The 22,187-nt window shown below is 43.7% G+C and overlaps 1 protein-coding gene and 1 pseudogene across 8 annotated transcripts, besides 4 other annotated features; one reads left to right on the top strand and one right to left on the bottom strand.

Moving 5' to 3' along the window:
• The first annotated feature begins 2,498 nt into the window (after positions 1-2,498).
• Positions 2,499-20,830, top strand: TRIML2 (tripartite motif family like 2). Of its 8 annotated transcripts, XM_047449767.1 has the most exons (9): positions 2,499-2,859; positions 6,515-6,922; positions 7,170-7,265; positions 10,852-11,046; positions 12,927-13,067; positions 13,823-13,897; positions 14,756-14,778; positions 14,941-15,041; positions 20,161-20,830. In XM_047449767.1, the coding sequence occupies exons 2-9, from the start codon at positions 6,734-6,736 to the stop codon at positions 20,727-20,729; spliced, it is 1,389 nt and encodes a 462-aa protein (XP_047305723.1). In that variant the 5' UTR covers positions 2,499-2,859; positions 6,515-6,733; the 3' UTR covers positions 20,730-20,830. The 8 variants fall into 8 exon arrangements, with proteins under 8 accessions (XP_047305723.1, XP_011530040.1, NP_775824.2 ...); XM_011531738.3 differs by lacking the exon at positions 13,823-13,897; NM_173553.4 differs by lacking the exon at positions 13,823-13,897 and having other exon boundaries at positions 6,512-6,922.
• Positions 3,468-3,986: an enhancer, noted in NCBI's record as "OCT4-NANOG-H3K27ac hESC enhancer chr4:189029270-189029788 (GRCh37/hg19 assembly coordinates)". NCBI's record gives its function as "activates a minimal SCP1, AML or CMV promoter by ChIP-STARR-seq in naive and primed H9 embryonic stem cells {active_cell/tissue: H9 hESC(naive and primed)}" and the evidence as "EXISTENCE:reporter gene assay evidence [ECO:0000049][PMID:30033119]".
• Positions 3,987-4,505: an enhancer, noted in NCBI's record as "OCT4-NANOG-H3K27ac hESC enhancer chr4:189028751-189029269 (GRCh37/hg19 assembly coordinates)". NCBI's record gives its function as "activates a minimal SCP1, AML or CMV promoter by ChIP-STARR-seq in naive and primed H9 embryonic stem cells {active_cell/tissue: H9 hESC(naive and primed)}" and the evidence as "EXISTENCE:reporter gene assay evidence [ECO:0000049][PMID:30033119]".
• Positions 5,025-5,542: an enhancer, noted in NCBI's record as "H3K27ac-H3K4me1 hESC enhancer chr4:189027714-189028231 (GRCh37/hg19 assembly coordinates)". NCBI's record gives its function as "activates a minimal SCP1, AML or CMV promoter by ChIP-STARR-seq in naive H9 embryonic stem cells {active_cell/tissue: H9 hESC(naive)}" and the evidence as "EXISTENCE:reporter gene assay evidence [ECO:0000049][PMID:30033119]".
• On the bottom strand, positions 5,188-5,544 carry FAUP3 (FAU pseudogene 3; annotated as a pseudogene).
• Positions 11,542-12,043: an enhancer, noted in NCBI's record as "H3K4me1 hESC enhancer chr4:189021213-189021714 (GRCh37/hg19 assembly coordinates)". NCBI's record gives its function as "activates a minimal SCP1, AML or CMV promoter by ChIP-STARR-seq in primed H9 embryonic stem cells {active_cell/tissue: H9 hESC(primed)}" and the evidence as "EXISTENCE:reporter gene assay evidence [ECO:0000049][PMID:30033119]".
• Positions 20,831-22,187: the final 1,357 nt, after the last annotated feature.

The raw sequence follows: 22,187 nt of genomic DNA, 5'->3' as shown, positions 1-22,187 counted from the left end.
CTGTTCTTTTCTGGAATGGGAGGAGGTGGTAGTCTCCTGCCGCAGATTTGGTCCAAAGTAACAAATACAGCCTTGTTTGGCACCAGCCATACTCATCCCACCCAGAAGCCGAGAGTATGCCAGCCTGGGGCGAGTGGTGAAGGTGATGTGGCTAACAAAGGGGACAGGACTGTTTTTGTTTTGTCCTGGTTTTTTGAGACCGAGTCTTGCTCTGTTGCCCAGGCTGGAGTGCAGTGGCACGATCTTGGCTCACTACAGCTTCCGCCTCCTGGGTTCAAGCAATTTCCGGCTAATTTTTGTATTTTTAGTAGAGATGAGGTTTCCCATGTTGGCCAGGCTGGTCTCGAACTCCTGACCTCAAGTGATCCACCCGCCTCGGTCACCCAAAGTGCTGGGGATACAGGCATGAGCCAGAGTGCCCGGCTGGGATACGACTGTTATAAGTTCATGAAATGACTCAGGAGAACAATGACTCACTCATTCATAATTGTATTTGTTCTTTGACAGTGAAAAAAAACTACATTTCTTCAGGATTTTCATTTTAATGAAAAGTTTTCCTATGAAAAATCTAACTACCTTAAAATGATCTGTGTTCCTTGTAATGTGATTACTCTAGCCCTATGAAAGCATCTCGTGATAAATTGTCATACAAATTTGAGGCATCTTTTTTGTAAATTGTCAAGCCATTTGATTAATATTTAATAAGGACAAATAATTATAATAAGGAAATATCATGAAATTTGGCACCCGATTCAAATTCCATATCTTCAATTTTCTGCACCCAGTGCTCTTGGTCAATTACTTAATCCCGTGACTTAATCTCTACGTCATCTACTTCATCAGCTGCAGATGTACCTCACGGGGTTGGAGCATGCAACAGGTGGGGCATGTAACAGTAAATAAGGGTTTAGCACACTTTTTTGTAATGTTTTTAGAATTATCTTAAAATATTGACTCTTCTAGAATTAATAATTTAATTATTAATAAATATTTATTTAATAGTAAAACAGGCTTTAATAAGTATTTATTTAAGCATTTAATACTCTAAAACAGGCTTTAAGAGACTTCAAAACCTGACAATATGCTTGATGTTTATTTTCCATTTGATTCAAAGATTACAAAGTTTTCTTGTCAAGATGAGTAAGCTCAAGAGTTATGAAAGCTCAAGGGATGGTGAGAGTAAATGACAGAGTATCTGACAACAAGTATGTGTGAGTATCTTCACAGACGTTGGCCGTACCCAGGCTTAGAAGAGAAAGGAAGATTGGATTAGAAAAATAAGAGAAGTAAAGGAGGATGGACTGGCTGAGGAGGGGAGGGGGCACAGGAATAAATGTGGTCTATTTGAAGAAAGCTGGGGAATTGGGTTTTGGAAAAGAGAGTGGGTGTAGGTAATCATCTGAGATAAGAGAAAGGGTGTATGGCCAGGCGCGGTGGCCAGAACTTTTGGAGGCCAAGGAGGGTGGGTCACCTGAGGTCAGGAGTTTGAGACCAGCCTGGCCAACATGGTGAAACCCCATCTCCACTAAAAATACAAAAATTAGCTGGGTGTGGTGGGCGCCTATAATCCCAGCTACTCGGGAGGCTGAAGTGGGAAAATTGCTTGAACCTGGGAGGCGGAGGCTGCAGTGAGCCGAGATCGCTCCACCGCACTCCAGCCTAGGCAACAGAGTGAGACTCTCATCTAAAAAAAAAAAAAAAGAAAGAAAAAAGAAAAAGAGAAACGGTGTATTGAGATTCCATAAGGTAGAACCAGGTTCTGAAAGATCAGATAAGCAAAGCAGAAGAATTCTCATTATCCTGTCAGCAGCATAAAGAAAAAAACTCCCTGGTTTGATTAGCAGGGGATTGACTGACTGATGCAATAAAAACCCTCGGGGACAAAACTATAAAACTTAGAAAGCTGTGAAGAGTTCCTCCTCACTGAAGCCAAATATCAAGTATGAATTATCTGGGATTGTTCCCTGACCTCCCATCTGTGACAGATTCCATAGGCAGTTATCCCTACTCTTGGTTTTTCTTTCCACAGATACTGGAATGAACACTTCTCCAGCAAACGTTCTAGAAACTAACAAGTCAGGCATTATTTTCTACTAAGGAACAAACACAGTCTTGAGTGTTAGCTCGAAGGCTTCTTTCCTGTGAAATTGTCAATATACACTAGATTCATTAAGAAAGAAAACCCCAAACCTTAAGGAGCTAGAGGTGTTAGGCACTGTACATGGCACTGGAGATAAAACAAGATATTTATCCAACCAAGGTCAGGGCTATTAAGCATTTTCTGGGAGTCCATTAAAAATGTAAATTACGGACCCCACCGTAGATTTCTGGAATCAGAGACCCTGTGAAGAGGCTTGCGTTTTAATAAACTCAGGTGGTTCTAATGAGATTAATTGTGTGAATATGATAAGAAACTTCACAGACGCCTTCCTGATGGTGTGAGGGCGGGGCTGAGGGAGGAATTGAACAGATAAAATCTCTTCAGTCTCCACTGTTCCAGCTTTTTCCCTAAAGGAAATACCTTGGTTCGGTGTGGTGACTCATTCCTGTAATCCCAGTACTTTGGGAGGCTGAAGCAGGCAGATTGCTTGAGCCCAGGAGTTCAAGACCAGCCTGGGAAAAATACTGAAACCCCGTCTCTACAAAAAATACAAAAATTAGCCGGGTGTGGTCGTGCAGCGCCTGTAATCCCAGCTACTCAGGAGGTCAAGGTGGGAGAATCACTTGAGCCTGGGAGCTCGAGGCTGTAGTGAGCCGAGATTGCGCCACTGCATTCCAGCCTGGGTGACAGAGCAAGACCCTGTCTCAAAAAAAAAAAAAAAAAAAAAAAAGGAAATACCCAGGATTGCTACAAAGAAAGTAAGTGAGATTTTCTCTATAGATCATTTTCTTAATAATTGTTTCTTTAGATTTCTAAACTTGATCTTAGAATCTATGTGTGTGTGTGTGTATCTGTGTGTTATCAGGAAAAAGCCTGAAGAAAAATATTAGGAAAAACAAAATAAGGGTAGACAACATGCTGGGGACTTAATTCGTCAATTTTCCTTTGCTGTTTCTGTAAAAATATTTAGTCTCTGTCCCTCTCTCATTACACCTTCAATTTTTACTGGTTTAACATAAAATATCGTTTACAATATTTATTGTGCATCGAGTATGTCAGATGTAGACACAGGGCATCTCAAGGACTTAGTTTCTTATGGATGGAGAGTGACCCACAAGTAAACTTGTTCATAGAAAGATAAAATCTTTTCGCTACTAAGAAAATAAAATAAGGAGATGAGTAGTGGGAAGGTATTTCAAATTGAGTAGTGATGGAAAGGTCTCTCTTGGGAAGACATTTGAGCTGAGAACTGAAGAGAAGAAAGAAGAGGCAGCTGGAATTGCAAAAATATGAGAGAAGAGCTCTGTTGGCCACGGAAGGGGGAAGGGCTGTGATGAATTAGAGGCAGCTAGATTGACAGTGATGGGGGAAAGCTATAGAGAGATCAGAAGAAGGCAGGAGGCCAGATTGTATAGGACGGGGTTATTACCCACTTCGATCTTACTCTAATGCCATAGAAAGTGACCACAAACCTGCTCACTTGGTTTTGGTTTTAAAATAGTATTCTGGTGGTTGAGCAGAGAGGAGCTGGAGATGGACGAGGAGGGCAGGACAGAATATAAATTTGGAAAACAATAGTTGAATTGGTGAAAGGAAGGCTTAAACTGTGGCTCTAAAGGAATGAGTTTGGGGGAAGAGAGCCACTGGGTTGAGATCCTGAGCGGCTTTAGATATGTTAATTTTGAGTGCTCCTTAGACATTCTATTGCAAAAATGTTGGGAATTGGGCAGGAGATTGAAATCGGAGAATGGAACTTAAATCTTCAGAAACGAGTAAGATTACCTAGGGAGAGACCAGGACTGGGAGACCAGAACTCAACCTTGAAGCACCCCAAGATTGAGAGGTTCAGAGGATGTGGGACCAGAAAAGGCCACGGAGAACAAGACCAGACAAGTTAGAGGAATGTCAGCTGCAGACAGATGAGAGAAGAAAACATTCTAGGAAGAAGGGTGTGGTCAGCTATGTTAACTGCTGCTGAGAGCTCAAGGAAAAATTTGAGTTGGTGAATTTCTTTGTTTTGGTGACTCAGTGGAGTCATCTCGGACATGTTCAGGGACCTAAGACACGGGAAACCAGCAGGGATTTCAAAGACCTAAGCAGAAGAAAGGATGAGAGCATCAAAAACAAGGAAGGAGGGAGAAAGTATTTGCAACTCACACAATTTACAGGAACTTGGATCTATAGCTCTCTCTTAAAATTGACCCCTCCCTCCAAAAAGGCCAAACCTGATGGAATAAACTGAGAGAGAGGCTTGAACATAGACTTCACAGCAAAAGAAGTGAAAATGGTTTTTTAGCATATGAAAATAAAAGGCTTAGACATATTAATAATATAACAGATGGAAGTTGAAAATATATGAATACACTATTTCTCACCCAGCCAGTGGGCAATGATCCAAAAGTTTAACATCTTTTTAATTTGTTGCTTGGAGTGCAAAATTGTACAACTTTTGTGCTTGGGAAACTGACAAAACATATCAAAATTATGGATGCATTCATTCACAGTCCTATTTGTGGGGAATATGCCTTTTCAGGCCAAGATTCTCAACTTTTTGGAATCAGTACTCCTTTGCACTCATTATTGACGAAGATCCCAATAAGCTTTTGTTTATGAGCGTTAATATCTATGTTTACTGTATTAGAAATTTAAAACTGCATTTTATAGTTATTCATTTAAAATAATAAAAACAAGCCAGGCACGGTGGGTCACACCTGTAATCCCAGCACTGAGGCTGAGGCGGGCAGATAACCTGAGGTCAGGAGTTCCAGATCAGTGTGGCCAACACGGTGAAACCCCGTCTCTACTAAAAATACAAAAAATTAGCTGGGTGTGGTTTCACGCGCCTGTAGTCCCAGCTACTCGGGAGGCTGAGGCAGGAGAGTCGGTTGAACCCGGGAGGCGGAGGTTGCAGTGAGCTGAGATCGTGCCACTGTGCTCCAGCCTGGGCGACAGAGATTCGGTCTCAAAAATAAATAAATAAGTTAATAAAATAATAAAAACAAAAACATTTTTCTGAGAAAAAAGTTTTCGAGCTAAGTGGCTTTTTTAATAGAGAAAGCCAGAATTACAAAGGACTTAAGAAGGACATTGGGGCCCTTCTTCTTGCCAAAGATGGGCACAACGTCGACAAAGCGCCGGTGGTACCGCACCCGCGGCTCAGCCCGGCCTGTCTTCTCGCTTGGCCACCTTAGCAAGAGTCTGACCTGTCACTTTCCCAGCGCGGGCCGGGGAACCACGGACTTGGCCTCCCGGGCAGTCGGGGCCTCCCACTTCGCCCTGGTCCAGGGTGGCCTCGCCCTGCAGGGACGCGCCTGCCAGGAGCACGATAGATCTTCCGGGGCGAAGCCCTCCAGTGGCGCTGCCTGAGCCGCGACCTGGGAGACCGTCTCCTGGCCGGTCACCTGGAGGGCGTGTAGCTCCGGGGCGCGGACCAAGAACTGCATGTTGGTGACTGAACCGCGGTTCCGGCTGCCGCCCCCGCGAAGATGGAGTCAAAGAGGAAGGAGCGAGGGCGCTCACGGCCAGACCGCGGGCAGCGCGTCACGTCACTCCTGAAATTTTATTTCGGAAACAATTATTGAGAAGAGTGGCTTTGGCTTCACTGTTTTGCAAATCTCTTTAATTGATGGCTTCTTAGAAGAGCCGTTTTCGGCCGGGCGCGGTGGCTCACGCCTGGAATCCCAGCACTTTGGGAGGCCGAGGCGGGTGGATCACGAGGTCAGGAGATCGAGACCATCCTGGCTAACACGGTGAAACCCCGTCTCTACTACAAAAATACAAAAAATTAGCCGGGCGAGGTGGCGGGCGCCTGAAGTCCCAGCTACTCGGGAGGCTGAGGCAGGAGAATGGCGGGAACCCGGGAGGCGGAGCTTGCAGGGAGCCGAGATCGCGCCACCGCACTCCAGCCTGGGTGACAGAGCGAGACTCCGTCTCAAAAAAAAAAAAAGAGGAGCTGTTTTCCCTTATTTGCTTCCCCATTCCTTCTGTTGCATGTGTTTTGTCCCAGCTGTAGTCCCAGCTACTCCGGAAGCTGAGGTGGGAGGATCGCTGGAGCCTGGGAGTTCCAGAGGCTGCAGTGAGCCGTGGTCACGCCACTGTACTCTAGACTGGGCAACAGAGCAAGACCCTGTCTCTCAAAGGGAAAGTATTTTAATAACTTTTTCAGATACTTGTGGTTTTTTTCTGTAATTCTATCAACGAACCTCTTTCGCACTCTGTTACCTCACTCTAGTCCTGAAGTTCCTTCAGTAATTAGCGCGATGCCTTTAGAGCACTGTTTTCCCCTGAATGACTCGTAAGTGAGTGCTGTTCCTTGTAATTAATTTTCAGCCTATTGCTCAAGATTGTCAGAAGACCTGAGGGAAACCCGCTGGTCTTAGAACACTGGCCTAACTCTGTCTTTTCCCCAAGCAGGCAGCTGCCAGAAATTTGTTGGATTTGAGGAGTCCAGAGCGCCGACCCGCTCTGTCTGCGTGGACTTATTTCCTTGGATCTTCGTGGACTCTGAAGTTGCCAAGTGTGTGTGCCTGCTCCAGAAAACAAAGGAAGCCACCATTTTTTCTCATTCACAGTGCAGGGAGATACCTCAGTAGAAGCATACAGTCCAGTCTTCAACTAGGGACCCCTACCAGGATGTCCAAAAGGCTCAGCCCTCAGTTACAGCACAACATCACAGAAGATGCCTATTGTGAAACACACCTGGAACCAACACGGCTGTTCTGTGATGTTGACCAAATCACACTCTGCAGCAAATGCTTCCAGTCCCAGGAGCACAAACATCACATGGTGTGTGGGATACAAGAGGCTGCTGAGAATTACAGGGTAAGAGTCACTCACGCAAATCCCAAAACACTCTGGCCAACTCCTATATGGATGAAATGGACAGACATTCTGGTCCTCCAAAACCATTACCTTAGTTGATGTTTATTACAGAATATTAGATAAGTTCGTTGAACCTTCAACCTAAAGGCTAAGAAAATATATACTCAGAGTTGTTGGCTGTTTAAGGTCAGGAATCCAACTGTTCTAAATCAATGATCTCACCTGGAATTCTGTGCTTTCTCTATAGAAGTTATTCCAGGAAATATTGAACACATCGAGGGAGAAACTTGAAGCAGCTAAAAGCATATTGACTGATGAGCAAGAAAGAATGGCGATGATTCAGGTCAGTGAGTGCTTATCTTGATTCTTGGGGGGAAATTACCAGTAATGTTGTTAGAAAATAGTGTATCATAAACAAAGTCAAAAGACAAATCACAAAGCAGGAAAAATGTGAAATCTATAGGAAGGAAAAGTGCTAATATCTTAATGTATAAAAAGCTCTTTAAAGTCAGTAAGAAGCTGGGTGTGGTGGCTCACGCCTGTAATCCCAGCACTTTGGGAAGCTGAGGAGGGCGGATCACTTGAGGTCAGGAGTTTGAGACCAGCCTGGCCAACATGGTGAAACCCCATCTCTACTAAAAATACAAAAATTAGCTGGGTGTGGTTGCACGAGCCTGTAATCCCAGCTACTCGGGAGGCTGAGGCAGGAGAATCGCTTGAACTGGGAGGCAGAGGTTGCAGTGAGCCGAGATCACACTACTGGACTCCAGCCTAGGCCACAGAGCAAGACTCCATCTCAAAAAAAATAAAAATAAAAAAAGTCAGTAAGGAAAAGACTAGAAATTTAATTTTAAAAAACGATCAAATAAGAGTTTGCAGAAAAGAAAGTAAATATATTTTAAATACATTGAAAGAATTTGAACTTTGTTCGTGGTAAGAGAAATACAAATTATATGGTGAGTAAAATGGCATTTGCAATGCTATTTGCAATGATCAAAAAGATTAACGACACCGTTTATAACAATGACATAGGAGAATGAGCATCTCTTGTACTTCTGGTTGCCACATAAATTCTAAAACCCTTTAAAGAGCAATTTGAGAATAGCTATTCAGATTTGAGGGTTCACCACCTGTTAGGCATATTTCACTTCTAATTTCAGCCTGTATCTTCATACTTAATCCTATTCTGTGCAAGGTATCCCCGATTCTGGGTCTTTTCTCTCCCTCAATTTTTAAAGGAAATAAATGCCTACTTAGGGAAGATAGTGGAGGAGAATTGCCTGGCTAGGTAAGGATTTTTCAACCGATCCCCCTTCTTTTTCAGTTCCAAGTACCATGTGTTCAGCAAATACTGAGATCCCACTGTTTGCCAGGGACTATGCAAGGTGCTAGGGGCTCACCAATGGAAAACAAAAAAAACCAGCTCTGCTTTCGTGGAACTTGCATTCTAGTGGATATAAACAAAATAAGTTTAATATATAGTATGTTACCTGGGAAGTGTTTAAAAAAATTTTTTTTAAGTGAGAAAGGAAGCAATGGAGTGAGCTTGTAAATAAAGTGATCAGAACCTTGTTATTCAGAAGGTGGCACTGAAGGAGGTGGGGGATTGGGCCATGCAGTTTTCTTGGGGAGGAATATTCTAGGCAGAGGAAAGGCCTGGAGGCTGCCGTGTATGTGGCTGGAGCTGTGTAAGGAAACGGGGGCTGTAGGTGATGAGATCAGAAGAAGGCGGTCAGTCATTTAGGGTGGCAGCCTTCAATGAAATACAAGCTTCAAAACCACTGGAAGGTTTCGAACAGAAGGCTGACATGATTTAACTTCCATTTTCATAGAAACACGCTAGCTGCCAAATGAAAATAGACATTAAGATAGTAAAAGCAGGCTGGTCGTGGTGGCTCATGCCTGTAATCCCAGCACTTTGGGAGGCCGAGGCGGGCGGATCACGAGGTCAGGAGATCGAGACCATCCTGGCTAACACGGTGAAACCCCGTCTCTACTAAAAAATCGGGTGTGGTGGCAGGTGCCTGTAGTCCCAGCTACTCAGGTGACTGAGGCAGGAGAATGGCATGAACTTTGGAGGCGGAGCTTGCAGTGAGCCGAGATGGCGCCACTGCACTCCAGCCTGGGCGACAGAGCGAGACTCCGTCTCAAAAAAAAAAAAAAAAAAAAAAAAACCAAGAGAGTAAAAGCAGAGGTGGAGAGACGTGCAAAGGGACTTGCAATAATTAGGGAGAGATGATGGTGAGCTGGGGGACAGGTAGAGCAGTGGTGAGAAGTAGTCAGGTTCTTGATAAATCTTGATTTCATTGAATCTTTTTTTTTTTTTTTTTGAGATGAAGTTTCGTTCTTGTTACCCAGGCTAGAGTTCAGTGACGCGATCTCGGCTCACTGCAACCTCCGCCTCCCGGGTTCAAGCAATTCTCCTGCCTTAGTCTCCCAGGTAGCTGACATTACAGGGGCCCGTCATCATGCCTGGCTAATTTTTTTATTTTTAGTAGAGACGGGGTTTCACCATGTTGGTCAGGCTGGTCTCGAACTGCTGACCCCATGATCCACCTGCCTTGGCCTCCCAAAGTGCTGGGATTACAGACGTGAGCCCGGACAATTTCACTGAATCTTAAATAGCTTAATAGAGATGCTATTTAAGCATCTCTAAGATGACTACTTTCAAATATATATCCCTAGCTCAGATTTCCAAATGGTAGTAGGCTTCATGTCCAATTTCCTACTTACTATCTTTACTTGGATGTCTAATTGACTAATCAAATTCATCACATCCCGAGCTAACGCACACTCCTCACTTCTGGAATCCAGCCTTTCCATAGATTCTCTCTATATATTTTGGTAATTCCATTCTTCCAGTTGCTTAGTCTAAAATTTTTGGTGTCTTTCGTCCATGACTCCTTTTTTCCCCACAACTCTTACCCAAGCATCAGCAAATCCCATTGGCCCTTTTCCAATGTCCTGGTCTCCTCCTCTGTTTGACAGAGGCTATAGCTTCCTTAGTTTTTCCTTATTGATGAACATTTCTTTTTTTTTTTTTTTTTTTTAAGATGGAGTCTCCCTCTGTCGCCCAGGCTGGAGTGCGGTGGCGCCATCTCGGCTCACTGCAAGCTCCACCTCCCGGGTTCACGCCATTCTCCTGCCTCAGCCTCCCGAGTAGCTGGGACTACAGGCGCCCGCCACCAAGCCCGGCTAATTTTTTGTATTTTTAGTAGAGACGGGGTTTCACCGTGTTAGCCAGGATGGTCTCGATCTCCTGACCTCGTGATCCGCCTGCCTCGGCCTCCCAAAGTGCTGGGATTACAGGCGTGAACCACCGCGCCCAGCCAATTCATTGATGAACATTTCTTCGTCTGCATTTTATGTTCTAAAATTGTGTTGATGTCTTGGCTGATGTTGACTCAAATTCTATTTCTCCTTTGGGTTTATTCCTTTTCTTCTGTACTTTACATTTCCTCGTCTTTTTTTGTTTGTTTGTTTTTTTGAGACAGAGTCTAGCTCTGTTGCCAGGCTGGAGTGCAGTGGCGTAATCTCTGCTCACTGCAACCTCCACCTCCCAGGTTCAAGCGATTCTCCTGCCTTAGCCTTCCGAGTAGCTGGGATTATGGGTGCTCCCCACCACGCCCAGCTAATTTTTGTATTTTTAGTAGAGATGGGGTTTCACCATGCTGGCCAGTATGGTCTCGATCTCCTGACCTCGTGATCCACCCACTTTGGCCTCCCAAAGTGCTGGGATTGCAGGCGTGAGCCACTGCGCCCAGCCTTCCTTGTCTTTATATTGGGGTTAGAGATGGAAAGAATACATTGTGGTCAGTGTAAGATATATATATCTATATATAGATATAGATATCTATCTATTATGACGTGTGTGTGTGTTGTTAATCTATCATGTTTAACCTGAAGTCTATCATGTCTATATGAGGAAGGAAGAGGAACAAAATTTTAAAAAGATGATTGAGTCTGAGTATAGTATGAGACTCCGGTTGTTGAATGAAGAGTGTGAGCAGAATCTCCAGAGACAGCAGGAATGCATATCTGACTTGAACCTGAGAGAAACCCTTCTGAATCAAGCGATCAAGCTTGCCACCGAGCTAGAGGAGATGTTCCAGGAAATGCTACAGGTGAGATATTGAAAACAACATCCTCATATTTGAGAAATGAGAAAAAGAAGAGCTAAACATTATGTCAATTCCAAAATAACATAGCCAGTGACAACCACACATGTATTAAATGAATTATATACCTACCTGGCAACTCCATTTCTATGAATTTATCTTGACATGCATATAAAAAGACATAAATAAAGCACAATATACCTATAAATATATTTGTACACATATTACTGTATTATGCTTCAAACATACTTACACACATAGAAAAAGACACCTGGGTAAGGCAACACTGAAACTGAGTTTCAGTTTAGAGCCATGGTTTAGAATTCACCTTTCTTTTTTTTGAGACAGAGTCTGGCTCTGTCTCCAGGCTGGAGTGCAGTGGCGCAATCTCAGCTCACTGCAAGCTTCGCCTCCCGGGTTCACGCCATTCTCCTGCCTCAGCCTCCCAAGTAGCTGGGATTACAGGTGCCCGCCACTACGCCCGGCTAATTTTTTGTATATTTAGTAGAGACGGGGTTTCACCGTGTTAGCCAGGATGGTCTCGATCTCCTGACCTCATGATCCACCCGCCTCAGCCTCCCAAAGTGCTGGGATTACAGGCGTGAGCCACCGCGCCCGGCCTAGAATTCACCTTTGAAGCCGGATGAATGGAGTTCCTATCTGAGCCAGCTGTTTACTGGCTCCTGGGTGGCCTACGACCTGCTGCTTAACCTTTGACTTGGTTCCTTTAGCTGTAAACTGGATATAACAGTGACCCCTAATTTATAAAATTATTGTGAGATTTGAGTGAGATAATCTGCTAAAGCTTATTAAATCGTGTCTTGTTCATGTTAAGCAGTTGATGAGTAGCAGATGTTACAATTATAACATTCATAGCAAGAGGTTAGAAACACCCTGTATTTGTCAATAGAAGACTCACAAAATGTGCTCCATACATACATGGAAGAATACTCTTCAGCATGTTAAGATGATGTCATGGCTCTGTGTATATGAATAAGGAATGTTCTCCAAGAATAAAGTAAGTTGTCAGATTAGTAATCAAATATAATAAACTATCACTTATGTTTATGTTTTTTCCCCCTAAATAACATACTCAAGTTGCGTATGTGACTACGCAGTATATGTAAAGTATACTTGGAAGGATAAAAAGAAAATTGATATCAGTAACGTAATTATTTATTTCTTATTAGTTAATCTATATACCTTAATTTTAATTGATTTCAAGTTAATGAAAAAATAGGGAACCTTCTGAACAAACAGCCACAGAAAAAACATGAAATGTTTTAGGTGCATATTAATGTGAGTAAGGGCTGCGTGCACACACATCTGTATTGGCTTAAACATACATAACAGGGGGCAAAGAATCAACTGTCTCTTGAGAGGAATCCTGCTTCAGCAGAAGAATATCATGGCCTTGCCTAATTATGTCTGTTCCTGGGGTAGCAGGCAGAAAAGCAGGGTTTTTTTTTTTTTGGTTTTGGTTTTGGTTTTTTTTTTTGATTTGGAGTCTTGCTCTGTCATTCAGGCTGGAGTGCAGTGGCACGATCTTGGCTCACTGCAACGTCTGCCTCCCAGGTTCAAGCGATTCTCCTGCCTCAGCCTCCTGAGTAGCTGGGATTACAGGCACCCGCCACCACGCCTGGCTAATTTTTGTACTTCTAGTGGAGACTGGGTTTCACCATGTTGGCCAGGCTGGTCTCAAACCCTGACCTCATGATCCGCCGGCCTTGGCCACCCAAAGTGCTGGGATTACAGGCGTGAGCCACTGCGCCCAACCGAAAAGCAGGTTTTTAAAAACATGGTTGAATTAATCTATAGGAGAAGTTACCGAACTCTTGTTCCTGAACTTGAGGTTGTTGAATAGTAACGAAGAAATGCTTCTGCAGAGACTGGGCCGTGTGGGGAGAGAGAACATGGAGAAACTGAAGGAGAGTGAAGCCAGGGCTTCTGAACAGGTCCGCAGCCTCCTAAAGCTCATCGTGGAGCTTGAGAAAAAGTGTGGGGAAGGCACCTTGGCATTGCTCAAGGTAAGATGCTGGGAAAAAGAAAATAAAATTCATTCCAGTATTTGAGAAATGAGAAGTGGACAGTACTCATTAGGGGTTGCTGTCAGAACACAATATCCAATGATCTTCAACCACAAAAGAAGGCTACATGACTTTCTTTCAGCTGCCAAAAGCTTTAGGAATGGTCATAGCTTTGTGGGATAGTGTGGAGCTGCTTCATGAGATGAATTCTCACCTTAAAATTATCAGCAGTAAGTTAGGGTTGAGATGTGACACAATGTGGTTAATACCTCCATGCAATGAAATATTCTGTGATCATAAAGAATAAAACAGCTCTATAGGCACTAACAGTATTTCAAGCACTCATTAAGTGAAAAAGAAAGATGCAGACTGCTTTTTGTTTGATCTTTGGATAATAAGTATATATACACACACATATACATGTGTGGTTGCTAACATTCACAGACTTTCTGGCAAAAAATTAATAAATGTATAGTCATCTGTGATAATCTTGAAACAAGGGTGAGATTATCTGCTATGATCTGAATGTTTGTGTCCCTCCAAAATATATATGTTGAAATCCTCTCCCCCAAGGCGATGGTATTGGGAGGTGGGGCCTTTGGGTAGTGAGTGGGGCCTGGGGGCAGAGCCCCTGTGAATGGGATTAGGGCTCTTATAAAAGAGGCCGAGGAAGACCTCACCCCTTCAGCTTGTGAGGCTGGAGATGGAGGCTACCTAGGAGGGATGGAGCCCTCACCGGACACTGAATCTGCCAGTGCCTTGATCTTGAAATTCGGCCTCCAGAACTGCGAGAAATGAATTTCTGCTGTGCAGAAGCTACTCAGTCTATGGTAAGTATTGCATATTTTGAATTTTGTATAGTAACATACGTTGCCTTTCAGAAAGTGGGTTACCTTTTTTTTTTTTTTTTTCCCCGAGACGGAGTCTCGCTCTATCTCCCAGGCTGGAGCAGTGGCGCAATTTCGGCTCACTGTAACCTCCGCCTCCCCAGTTCAAGCGATTCTCCTGCCTCAGCCTCCTGAGTAGTTGGGATTACAGGCGCCCACCACCATGTCCAGCTAATTTTTGTATTTTTAGTAGAAACGGGGTTTCACCATGTTGGTCAGTCTGGTCTTAAACTCCCGACCTCAGGTTATACGCCCACCTTGGCCTCCCAAAGTGCTGGGATTACAGGCATGAGCCACCGCGCCTGGCCTTACTATCTTTTTAAGACTGTCCATATCCCTCTCCTGGGCTTATAATTGCAATGAATGCGCTCATCTGGAAAGCGTCTGTAGGTAAATCCTTAGGAAGCAGCTCAGTTCTTGAGCATGCAGGCAGGTGTGGCTCTGCCTGGCTCCCACTGCCCTCCCAGCCAGTGGCCCCTTCACCTGCTGAACTCTGGCCACCCCCTGCATGGAAAGCAGATAGATGCTCCCGTCTGAAGACTGAGAAATGATGGCTCTGAGTAAGATGCCTGGGGTGAGGGATAGAAAACCTTTCCCTTGGGACTACGACAAAATGATTTCATGCATTTTTCTGACTTTTTCTGTTTCCATGTTAGAATTTGTTCATCTGATAACTAGCATTATGAGGTTGAAGAAATGACATGGAAATTGAGTTCATTGTAAGAGGATATTTTCCTGGGCACAGATTGCAAAAACAGCTCAAAAACCCAGTAGTAACCTGGTCTCTTTTCTTTCCCTTAGAATGCAAAATACTCTTTAGAAAGGTGAGTTTTCATTTTGGATACAATTGGGTGAGAATCAGAGTCCAGTAAGATGTTGATTGAGATAGGGAGATTGCATTTGCTGGTAGGATGTAATGGGATCCATCCAGTAGACTAAGGGGCCTGTGGTCTGTGCAGATGACTGAGGCTGTCCTTTCTCTTCAGGAGCAAGTCACTGCTGCTTGAGCATCTGGAGCCCGCTCATATCACAGACCTGAGTTTATGCCACATAAGAGGACTCAGCAGCATGTTCAGAGTACTCCAGAGTAAGTTGACACATGTGAATACTCACAGGGCACTGTTCTGCATTTGAGAATCAGGTGACCATCCTGCCATAAATGAAAACAAATTCCAGTAGTTTAACAATTTTAGGCCAGCACAGTGGGTCACTCCTGTAATCCCAGCACTTTGGGAGGCCAAGGCGGGCGGTTTGCTTGAGGCCAGGAGTTCGAGACCAGCCTAACCAACATGGTGAAATCCCATCTCTACAAAAAATACGAAAATTAGCCAGTTGTGGTGGCGTGTGCCTGTAGTCCCTGCTACTTGAGTGGCTGAGGTGGGAGAATTGCTTGAACCCAGGAGGTGGAGATTGCAGTGAGCTGAGATCACACCACTGCACCCCAGCCTGGGCAACAGAATGAGACTCTGTCTTAAAATAAATAAATAAAAATTTTAGGAGACTGGAGAGCTTAATATGTTATACATATTAGATAAGGATCAAAAAAATAACTGTATGATCTCATATGAAAGCTCTTCCCATGCAAAATCTTTTTTTTTTTTTTTTTTTTTTTTTTTTTTGAGACAGAGTTTCACTTTGCCCAGGCTGGAGTGCAGTGGTGCGATCTTGGCTCACTGCAACCTCCCCCTCCTGGGTTCAAGTGATTCTCCTGCCTCGGCCTCCCAAGTAGCTGGGATTACAGGCATGCACCACCACACCTGGCTAATTTTTTGTATAGTAGAGATGAGGTCTTACCATGTTGGTCAGGATGGTCTTGAACTCCTGATCTCAGGTGATCCACGCGCCTTGGGCTCCCAAAGTGCTGGGATTATAGGCGTGAGCCACCACGCCTGGCTAATTTTTTGTATTTATGGTAGAGACGAGGTCTTACCATGTTGGTCAGGCTGGTCTTGAACTCCTGATCTCAGGTGATCCACGCGCCTCAGGCTCCCAAAGTGCTGGGATTACAGGCGTGAGCCACCACGCCTGGCTGCAGATTCTTTACCAGTTCCCCAGCCATGAAACATGATTGCAGGCAGATTCCACTGCTTAAAAATTTAAAACTTCTGGGGAAGAAATTCAGCATGTATAACAAAGGGTTTATATCTCCTGTCCTTATAGCTTTGCCTTTCCCAGAATGTCCTATCGATGGAATCCTACAGTGTGTGGCCTTTCGAGGCTGACAGCATACTGCAGTTGACATATAGAACGTCCAGGCTGCTTCGTGTATCAGTAGTTTGTTCCTTTTTATTGTTGATAATATTCCATTGTATAAATATACCATAATTTACTTATCCTTTTGCAATTCTACGGACATGGGTTGTTTCCAGCTCTGTGCTGTAAATATTAGCAGCAGATTTTTGTGTGGGCACAGCTTCATAGTTCTTGATTGACTGTCTAAGGGTGGGATTGCCAAACTTGTTTTCCAAATTGCCTGTGCCATTTTGCCTTCCCACCAATAACGTGCGAAAGATTCAGTTACTCTGTATTCTCACCAGGGTTTGGTATTGTCAGTTTGTTTTACTACATCCGACCCGATAGATGGGTAGTGGTATGTCATTTTAATTTGCATTTCCAGAATGACTAATGATGCTGAGCATATTTTCATGTGTTTGTTTTCCCTCTATCTCAACTTTGGTGAAATACATGTACAAACCCCTTTTCTAAATTGGGTTGTATGTCTCTTGAGTTTTATAATTTCTTTATATGTTCTGTTTAGCATTCATTTATCAGATAAATTTTGCAAATATTTCCTCCCAGCATGGTTTGTATTCTCATTTTCCTAATACTGTCTTTTGAAGTGTAGAGGTTTTGCATTTTGATGAAGTTCAATTTATCAAGTTTTTTCTTTTATGACTTCTGCTTTTTGTGTCTTATTTAAGAAATTTTGCCAAAGCCAACAAAGATTTCCTTCCAAAAGTTTTATGGTTTTCGGTTTTACATTGTGGCCTATGAACCACTGAGAGTTAATATCTGTATACAGTTCACAGAATGGTGCAAACCCTCTCCTCCCCCCACCTTCTATTTTTATTTTTTGACTCACATGTATCCATTTGTTCCAGTTTCATTTGTTAAAAACACTACCTTTGTCCATTCAATTTACTTGGCCCCTTTGTTGAAAATCAACTGGTATATGCGATCACGTCTATTTGTGACTCTAATAGGTCTATTGATGGTTGACTCTTTCCCTTTGCCAATAGCACACTGGCTTGATTGATAACTCTGTAGGAAGTCTTGAAAGCAGGTACTGTGCATTCTCCAAATTTATTCTTTTTCAGAATAGTTTTGGCTACTGTAGGTTGTTTGCTTTTCCACATAAATTTTGAAATCAGCTTGTTGGCTTCTTCAAAATGGACCGCTGGGATTTTTATTCATATTACATTGAATCCGTTGATCAGTTTGGGGAGAATTGACATCTTGACAATATTTGGTGCTTTCAGTCCAGGAATACAAAATATCTCCATTTATTTAGGTCTTCGATTTCTCTCATCAGTGTTTTGTCACTTTCAGCATAAAATGTTATATGTATTTGGAGATGTATCCCTAAGTATTTTATGTTTTTTACAGCCACTGTAAACGGTATTTTAAAATATCAATTTCTAATTGACATTTCATTCATTTCTAGTTCATTGCAAGTATATAGAAATGGAATTGTTTTATATATATTGACATTTGTACCCTATAACTATGCAAAACTCACTCATTAGACAGTGGATTTCTATAAATAGATCCTTCAGGATTTTCTACAAAGTCATGCAGTATATGAGTATAGATAGCTTTATTTCTGCCTTTCCAGTCTGTAAGCCTTTTCTGAATTTTTCTTGCCTTATTATACTGGCTCAGACCTGCAGTGTGTTGAACAGAAGTGGTGAGAGTGGACACTTGCTTATTCTCGATCTTAGGAAGAAAGAAAACATTAAGTCTTTTCACTCTAAATTCTGATACAGCTATAGCGCTTTTTGTTGTTGTTTTGTGTTTTTTGTTTTTGTTTTTGTTTTTGTTTTTGTTTTTGTTTTTTGAGATGCTGTCTGGCTCTGTCACCCAGGCTGGAGTGCAATGGCGAAGCCTCAGCTCACCGCAACCTCCTCCTCCCAGATTCAAACGATTCTCCTGCCTCAACCTCCCGAGTAGCTGAGTGCCACCACACTCAGCTAATTTTTGTATTTTTAGTAGATACGGGGTTTCACTCTGTTGGTCAGGCTGGTCTCGAACTCCCAACCTCGTGATCTGCCTGCCTCAGGTTCCCAAAGTGCTGGGATTAAAGGCGTGAGCCACCGCACCTGGCCCTAGCTATAGTTTTTTTTAATGGCTGCCTTTCATCAAATTGAGGATGTCCCCCTTTATTTCTGGTTTACTAAGAATTTTTATGAATCAATGTTGAATTTATCAAGTTCTTTTTCTCTTGAGATACTCCTGTTGTTTCTTCAACCTTTTTTGTTTTTGTTTTTGAGATGAGCCTCGCTCTGTTGCTCAGGCTGGAGGGCAGTGGCATGATCTCGGCTCACTGCAACCTCTGCCTCCCAGATGCAAGCGATGCTCCTGCCTCACCCTCCTGAGTAGCTGGGATTACAGGCCGCCACCAGGCCTGGCTGATTTTTGTAATTTTAGTAGAGATGGGGTTTCGCCAGGCTGGTCTCAAAGTCCTGGCCTCAAGTGATCCGTCCTCCTCGGCCTCCTAAAATGCTGGGATTACAAGCGTGAGCCACCGTGCCCAGCCACAGCTGTGCGTTTTTCCAGAGATAATTTGCATTTGTTTCTGCCAGTCTCCTGGAAATACTGAGAGTCTCAGACAATTTTTTAAAAATTCAAGACGTGTAGCTGTTGAGACCACCCTAATAATGTGAATTGGGCTTCAAATTCAGAGATTTAAGTTCATTAAATTTACTTCAGTCAAATAATAGAAATTAAGCTGGATTCCACATTACAGAAAGTAGGAAATAAAGGCCTTCCAGGTTTATGGCTTAGACAACTGAAGCAATGAGGGAGCTGTGAACTGAGAAGTAGAGACTGCAGAGGGCTGGCGTTGAAGTTCCATTTTGGGTGTGTTATGTTTGAAATTCCTGTGTTTTTTCCAACTGGTATTTAGCTGTTTATGGAGCGAGTCACAAACACAGAGAAGATGTTTAAAACTGAAGCTATGCACAGTTACCTGGGGGCAGTGAAGGAGAATATACTACTTGAAAGAAGAAGTCCCAGGACCAAGCCCTGAAAGATCACAATAGTTAGAGGCTGGGCAGAAAGAGATGAGAGGAACAGTCAGAGATAGGAAGAAGACGTATTCATGCAGGTGTGAGGAATTCATTGAGCCTGCGTGTTCTCAGCGTGAGTTTCTGGAGGGTCCACACAGGTGTTCCATCCTCCGCTGATAAATTATCTGATGTAATGCCTGATGTCCAGGGCCTGTTGTCAGCAATTTCCAGGCCTCTATGTCACCCTGTGGGGATATTTAAGATGTGTAGAGTACGGCATCGGGAGGGCCACGAATGAGTTGCTGCTGGCCGACTCCTGTGGCCGCTCCAGGCTTGGAGATCTAGAAGACCAGGGTTGGGCCCCAAGTGATATCTGGATGGAACTTGGCACCAGGACAGTTTGACCGTCTCTGGGGTGAAGCTGTTTTTTGTTTGTTTGTTTGTTTGTTTGTTTGTTTTGAGATGGAGTCTTGCTCTGTCGCCCAGGCTGGAGTGCAGTGGTGTGATCTCGGCTCACTGCAATCTCCGCCTCCTGGGTTCAAGCAATTTTCTGCCTCAGCCTCATGAGTAGCTGGGATTACAGGCGCCTGCCACCACACTCGGCTACTTTTTGTATTTTTTTAGTAGAGATGGGGTTTCACCATCTTGACCAGGCTGGTCTTGAACTCCTGACCTCGTGAGCCACCGCGCCACGTTGGATGAAGGTGTTTCTAAACCTTCCTTAGCTCATTCATCTTTGTTTTATTCTTCCCGCTCAGGTAGACTGTGTCCCTTTCCATATCTTATGGACTTTTTCCTCCATGAGGTCCATATTGAAGTTCAGCAGTTCCTTTTCCTGGACCCTCCCAAATTGCCTCTCCCGTATCTGGGCCTGGGACTTGTGCCCACTCAGTGGGAAGCCCAGGTGTGTTAGAAATCATGTCTCTGGCATTGGCATTGGTGAACTCCTAGGTTAACGAGGGTTTTCTCTCCTGATAGGACATTTAACATTGGATCCTGAAACAGCTCATCCCTGCCTGGCACTATCTGAGGACCTGAGAACTATGAGATTGAGACATGGGCAGCAGGATGGGGCTGGCAACCCAGAAAGATTGGATTTCAGTGCCATGGTGCTGGCTGCGGAGAGCTTCACCTCAGGGAGGCACTACTGGGAGGTGGACGTGGAAAAGGCAACCAGGTGGCAAGTGGGCATATACCACGGCTCTGCAGACGCGAAGGGCAGCACGGCCAGAGCTTCCGGAGAGAAAGTCTTGCTCACGGGGTCGGTGATGGGGACCGAGTGGACTCTCTGGGTCTTCCCCCCTCTGAAAAGGCTCTTCCTGGAAAAGAAGTTGGACACAGTTGGCGTTTTCCTTGACTGCGAACACGGGCAGATATCATTCTACAATGTGACCGAGATGTCCCTCATTTACAATTTCTCCCATTGCGCCTTCCAAGGAGCTCTCAGGCCTGTGTTTTCCCTCTGTATCCCAAATGGAGACACAAGTCCAGACTCCCTCACCATCTTACAACATGGTCCTTCTTGTGATGCTACTGTTAGCCCTTAATCTTCTGTGTGTAAAATCCAAGACCACGAGACACCAGAAAGTTGGAGAACAAGACTTTGAAAGAATTTGTGTAAACTAACCCAATAAAAAGCGTTCCAGGAGTAGGAGCCTGATTTAATATCCAGAGCCTTTGCATTTGTGTAACTGTCAACACCTGTGTGTAGTGGAAGAGGTTGCACTTAACCTGAATCATGAATGATAATAACGGGGAGATCCTATGCTAATGAGAAAAAATGCATATGCATCGTAAGCTTGGGGAATTAGAGAAGAAATACAGTCTGGGGTCCTTAGAACTAGGTTAGGAACTTGATGTATTTCTGAAAACATTTGCAGAATCAGGTATAATCAGGAATGAAAGCGGGACTTTAGATATGAGCATGCCACCATGCGGAACAGGTGTCCATTACTGACAGTGAGTATCAGGACTTCCTAAAGTGTTTTATTCCAAATAGAGAATAATAATTTATATAGATATTTTATGTGGATAAGAAGGAGTTGTGGAAAATGTGAATATTTTTAAATTTTCTTTTCTTTTTCTTTTTTTTGAGACGAAATTTCGCTCTTGTCGCCCAGGCTGGAGTACAGTGGCTCGATCTTGGCTCATCACAACCTCCCCGGGTTCAAGCAGTTCTCCTGCCTCAGCCTCCCGAGTAGCTAGGATTACAGGTGCCCACCACCACGCCCAGCTAATTTTTGTATTTTTAGTAGAGGCGGGGTTTCACCATGTTGGCCAGGATGGTCTCGAGCTCCTGACCTCAAGAGATCCACCAGCCTCAGCCTCCCAAAGTGCTGGAATTACAGGTGTGAGCCACCACACCCGGCCTACCTCTCTTTCTGATAGGAACAATTTGATTTATTAGAAGAAGCCCGACAGGTAATGGTTTGAATCAGGTAAGTAATACCGATGATGCCTGGTGTTCACCCTCTTCTTTCTCTGTTTGGTGGTCTACAGGCAAATGCCTTCTCTTACATCCTTGCTCAGGGATGGTTGTATAATGCTGAGAAAATAAGTATCTACATAGGGACTTTTATGTTTAAGTTCTATCATGCTTTATCTCCTTTAATGTTTTTAACAACCTATGAGTGTGCATTAATCTTTTTACTCATGTGGAAACTGATGCTCAGAGAGCTGATTTGTTTTTTCTAAAGTGACATTGCTGTTACATATCTAGTGACAAGGAGAAGGAATTAAATTGAGACGGTCATCAGATCAAAAAGCAAGCTCCGCCTTGACTCCTGTCGCACAGGGATCAGTTGTAATGAGCATGACTAGGTGGAACGGTGGTCCAGTTTTACTCAAATGTTCTCAAAATGCAAGTCAGTTCCCACAGAAAATAGAAGCAGCATATCATGTACACAGCCCTCTGTAGGTGGGCTCTGGCTCATGGAGGCCAAGTTCTTTAGGATGGGCAGAGGAGGAAGGAACGAAAGGCAAATGTCAGAAAATTGCCTCTGTTG

This window comes from Homo sapiens, chromosome 4, assembly GCF_000001405.40.
Source record: "Homo sapiens chromosome 4, GRCh38.p14 Primary Assembly".
Taxonomy (NCBI): Eukaryota; Metazoa; Chordata; class Mammalia; order Primates; family Hominidae; genus Homo; species Homo sapiens.
Note: the sequence above shows the minus strand (reverse complement) of the source record. Positions and strands in the feature narration are given on the sequence as shown.

Coding starts and splice junctions, on each gene's coding strand:
- TRIML2 (XM_047449767.1), top strand. CDS start 6,734: ATGTCCAAAAGGCTCAGCCCTCAGTTACAGCACAACATCACAGAAGAT. Junction 6,923..7,169: donor AGGCTGCTGAGAATTACAGG/GTAAGAGTCACT, acceptor CTTTCTCTATAG/AAGTTATTCCAGGAAATATT. Junction 15,042..20,160: donor CATGTTCAGAGTACTCCAGA/GTAAGTTGACAC, acceptor CTCTCCTGATAG/GACATTTAACATTGGATCCT.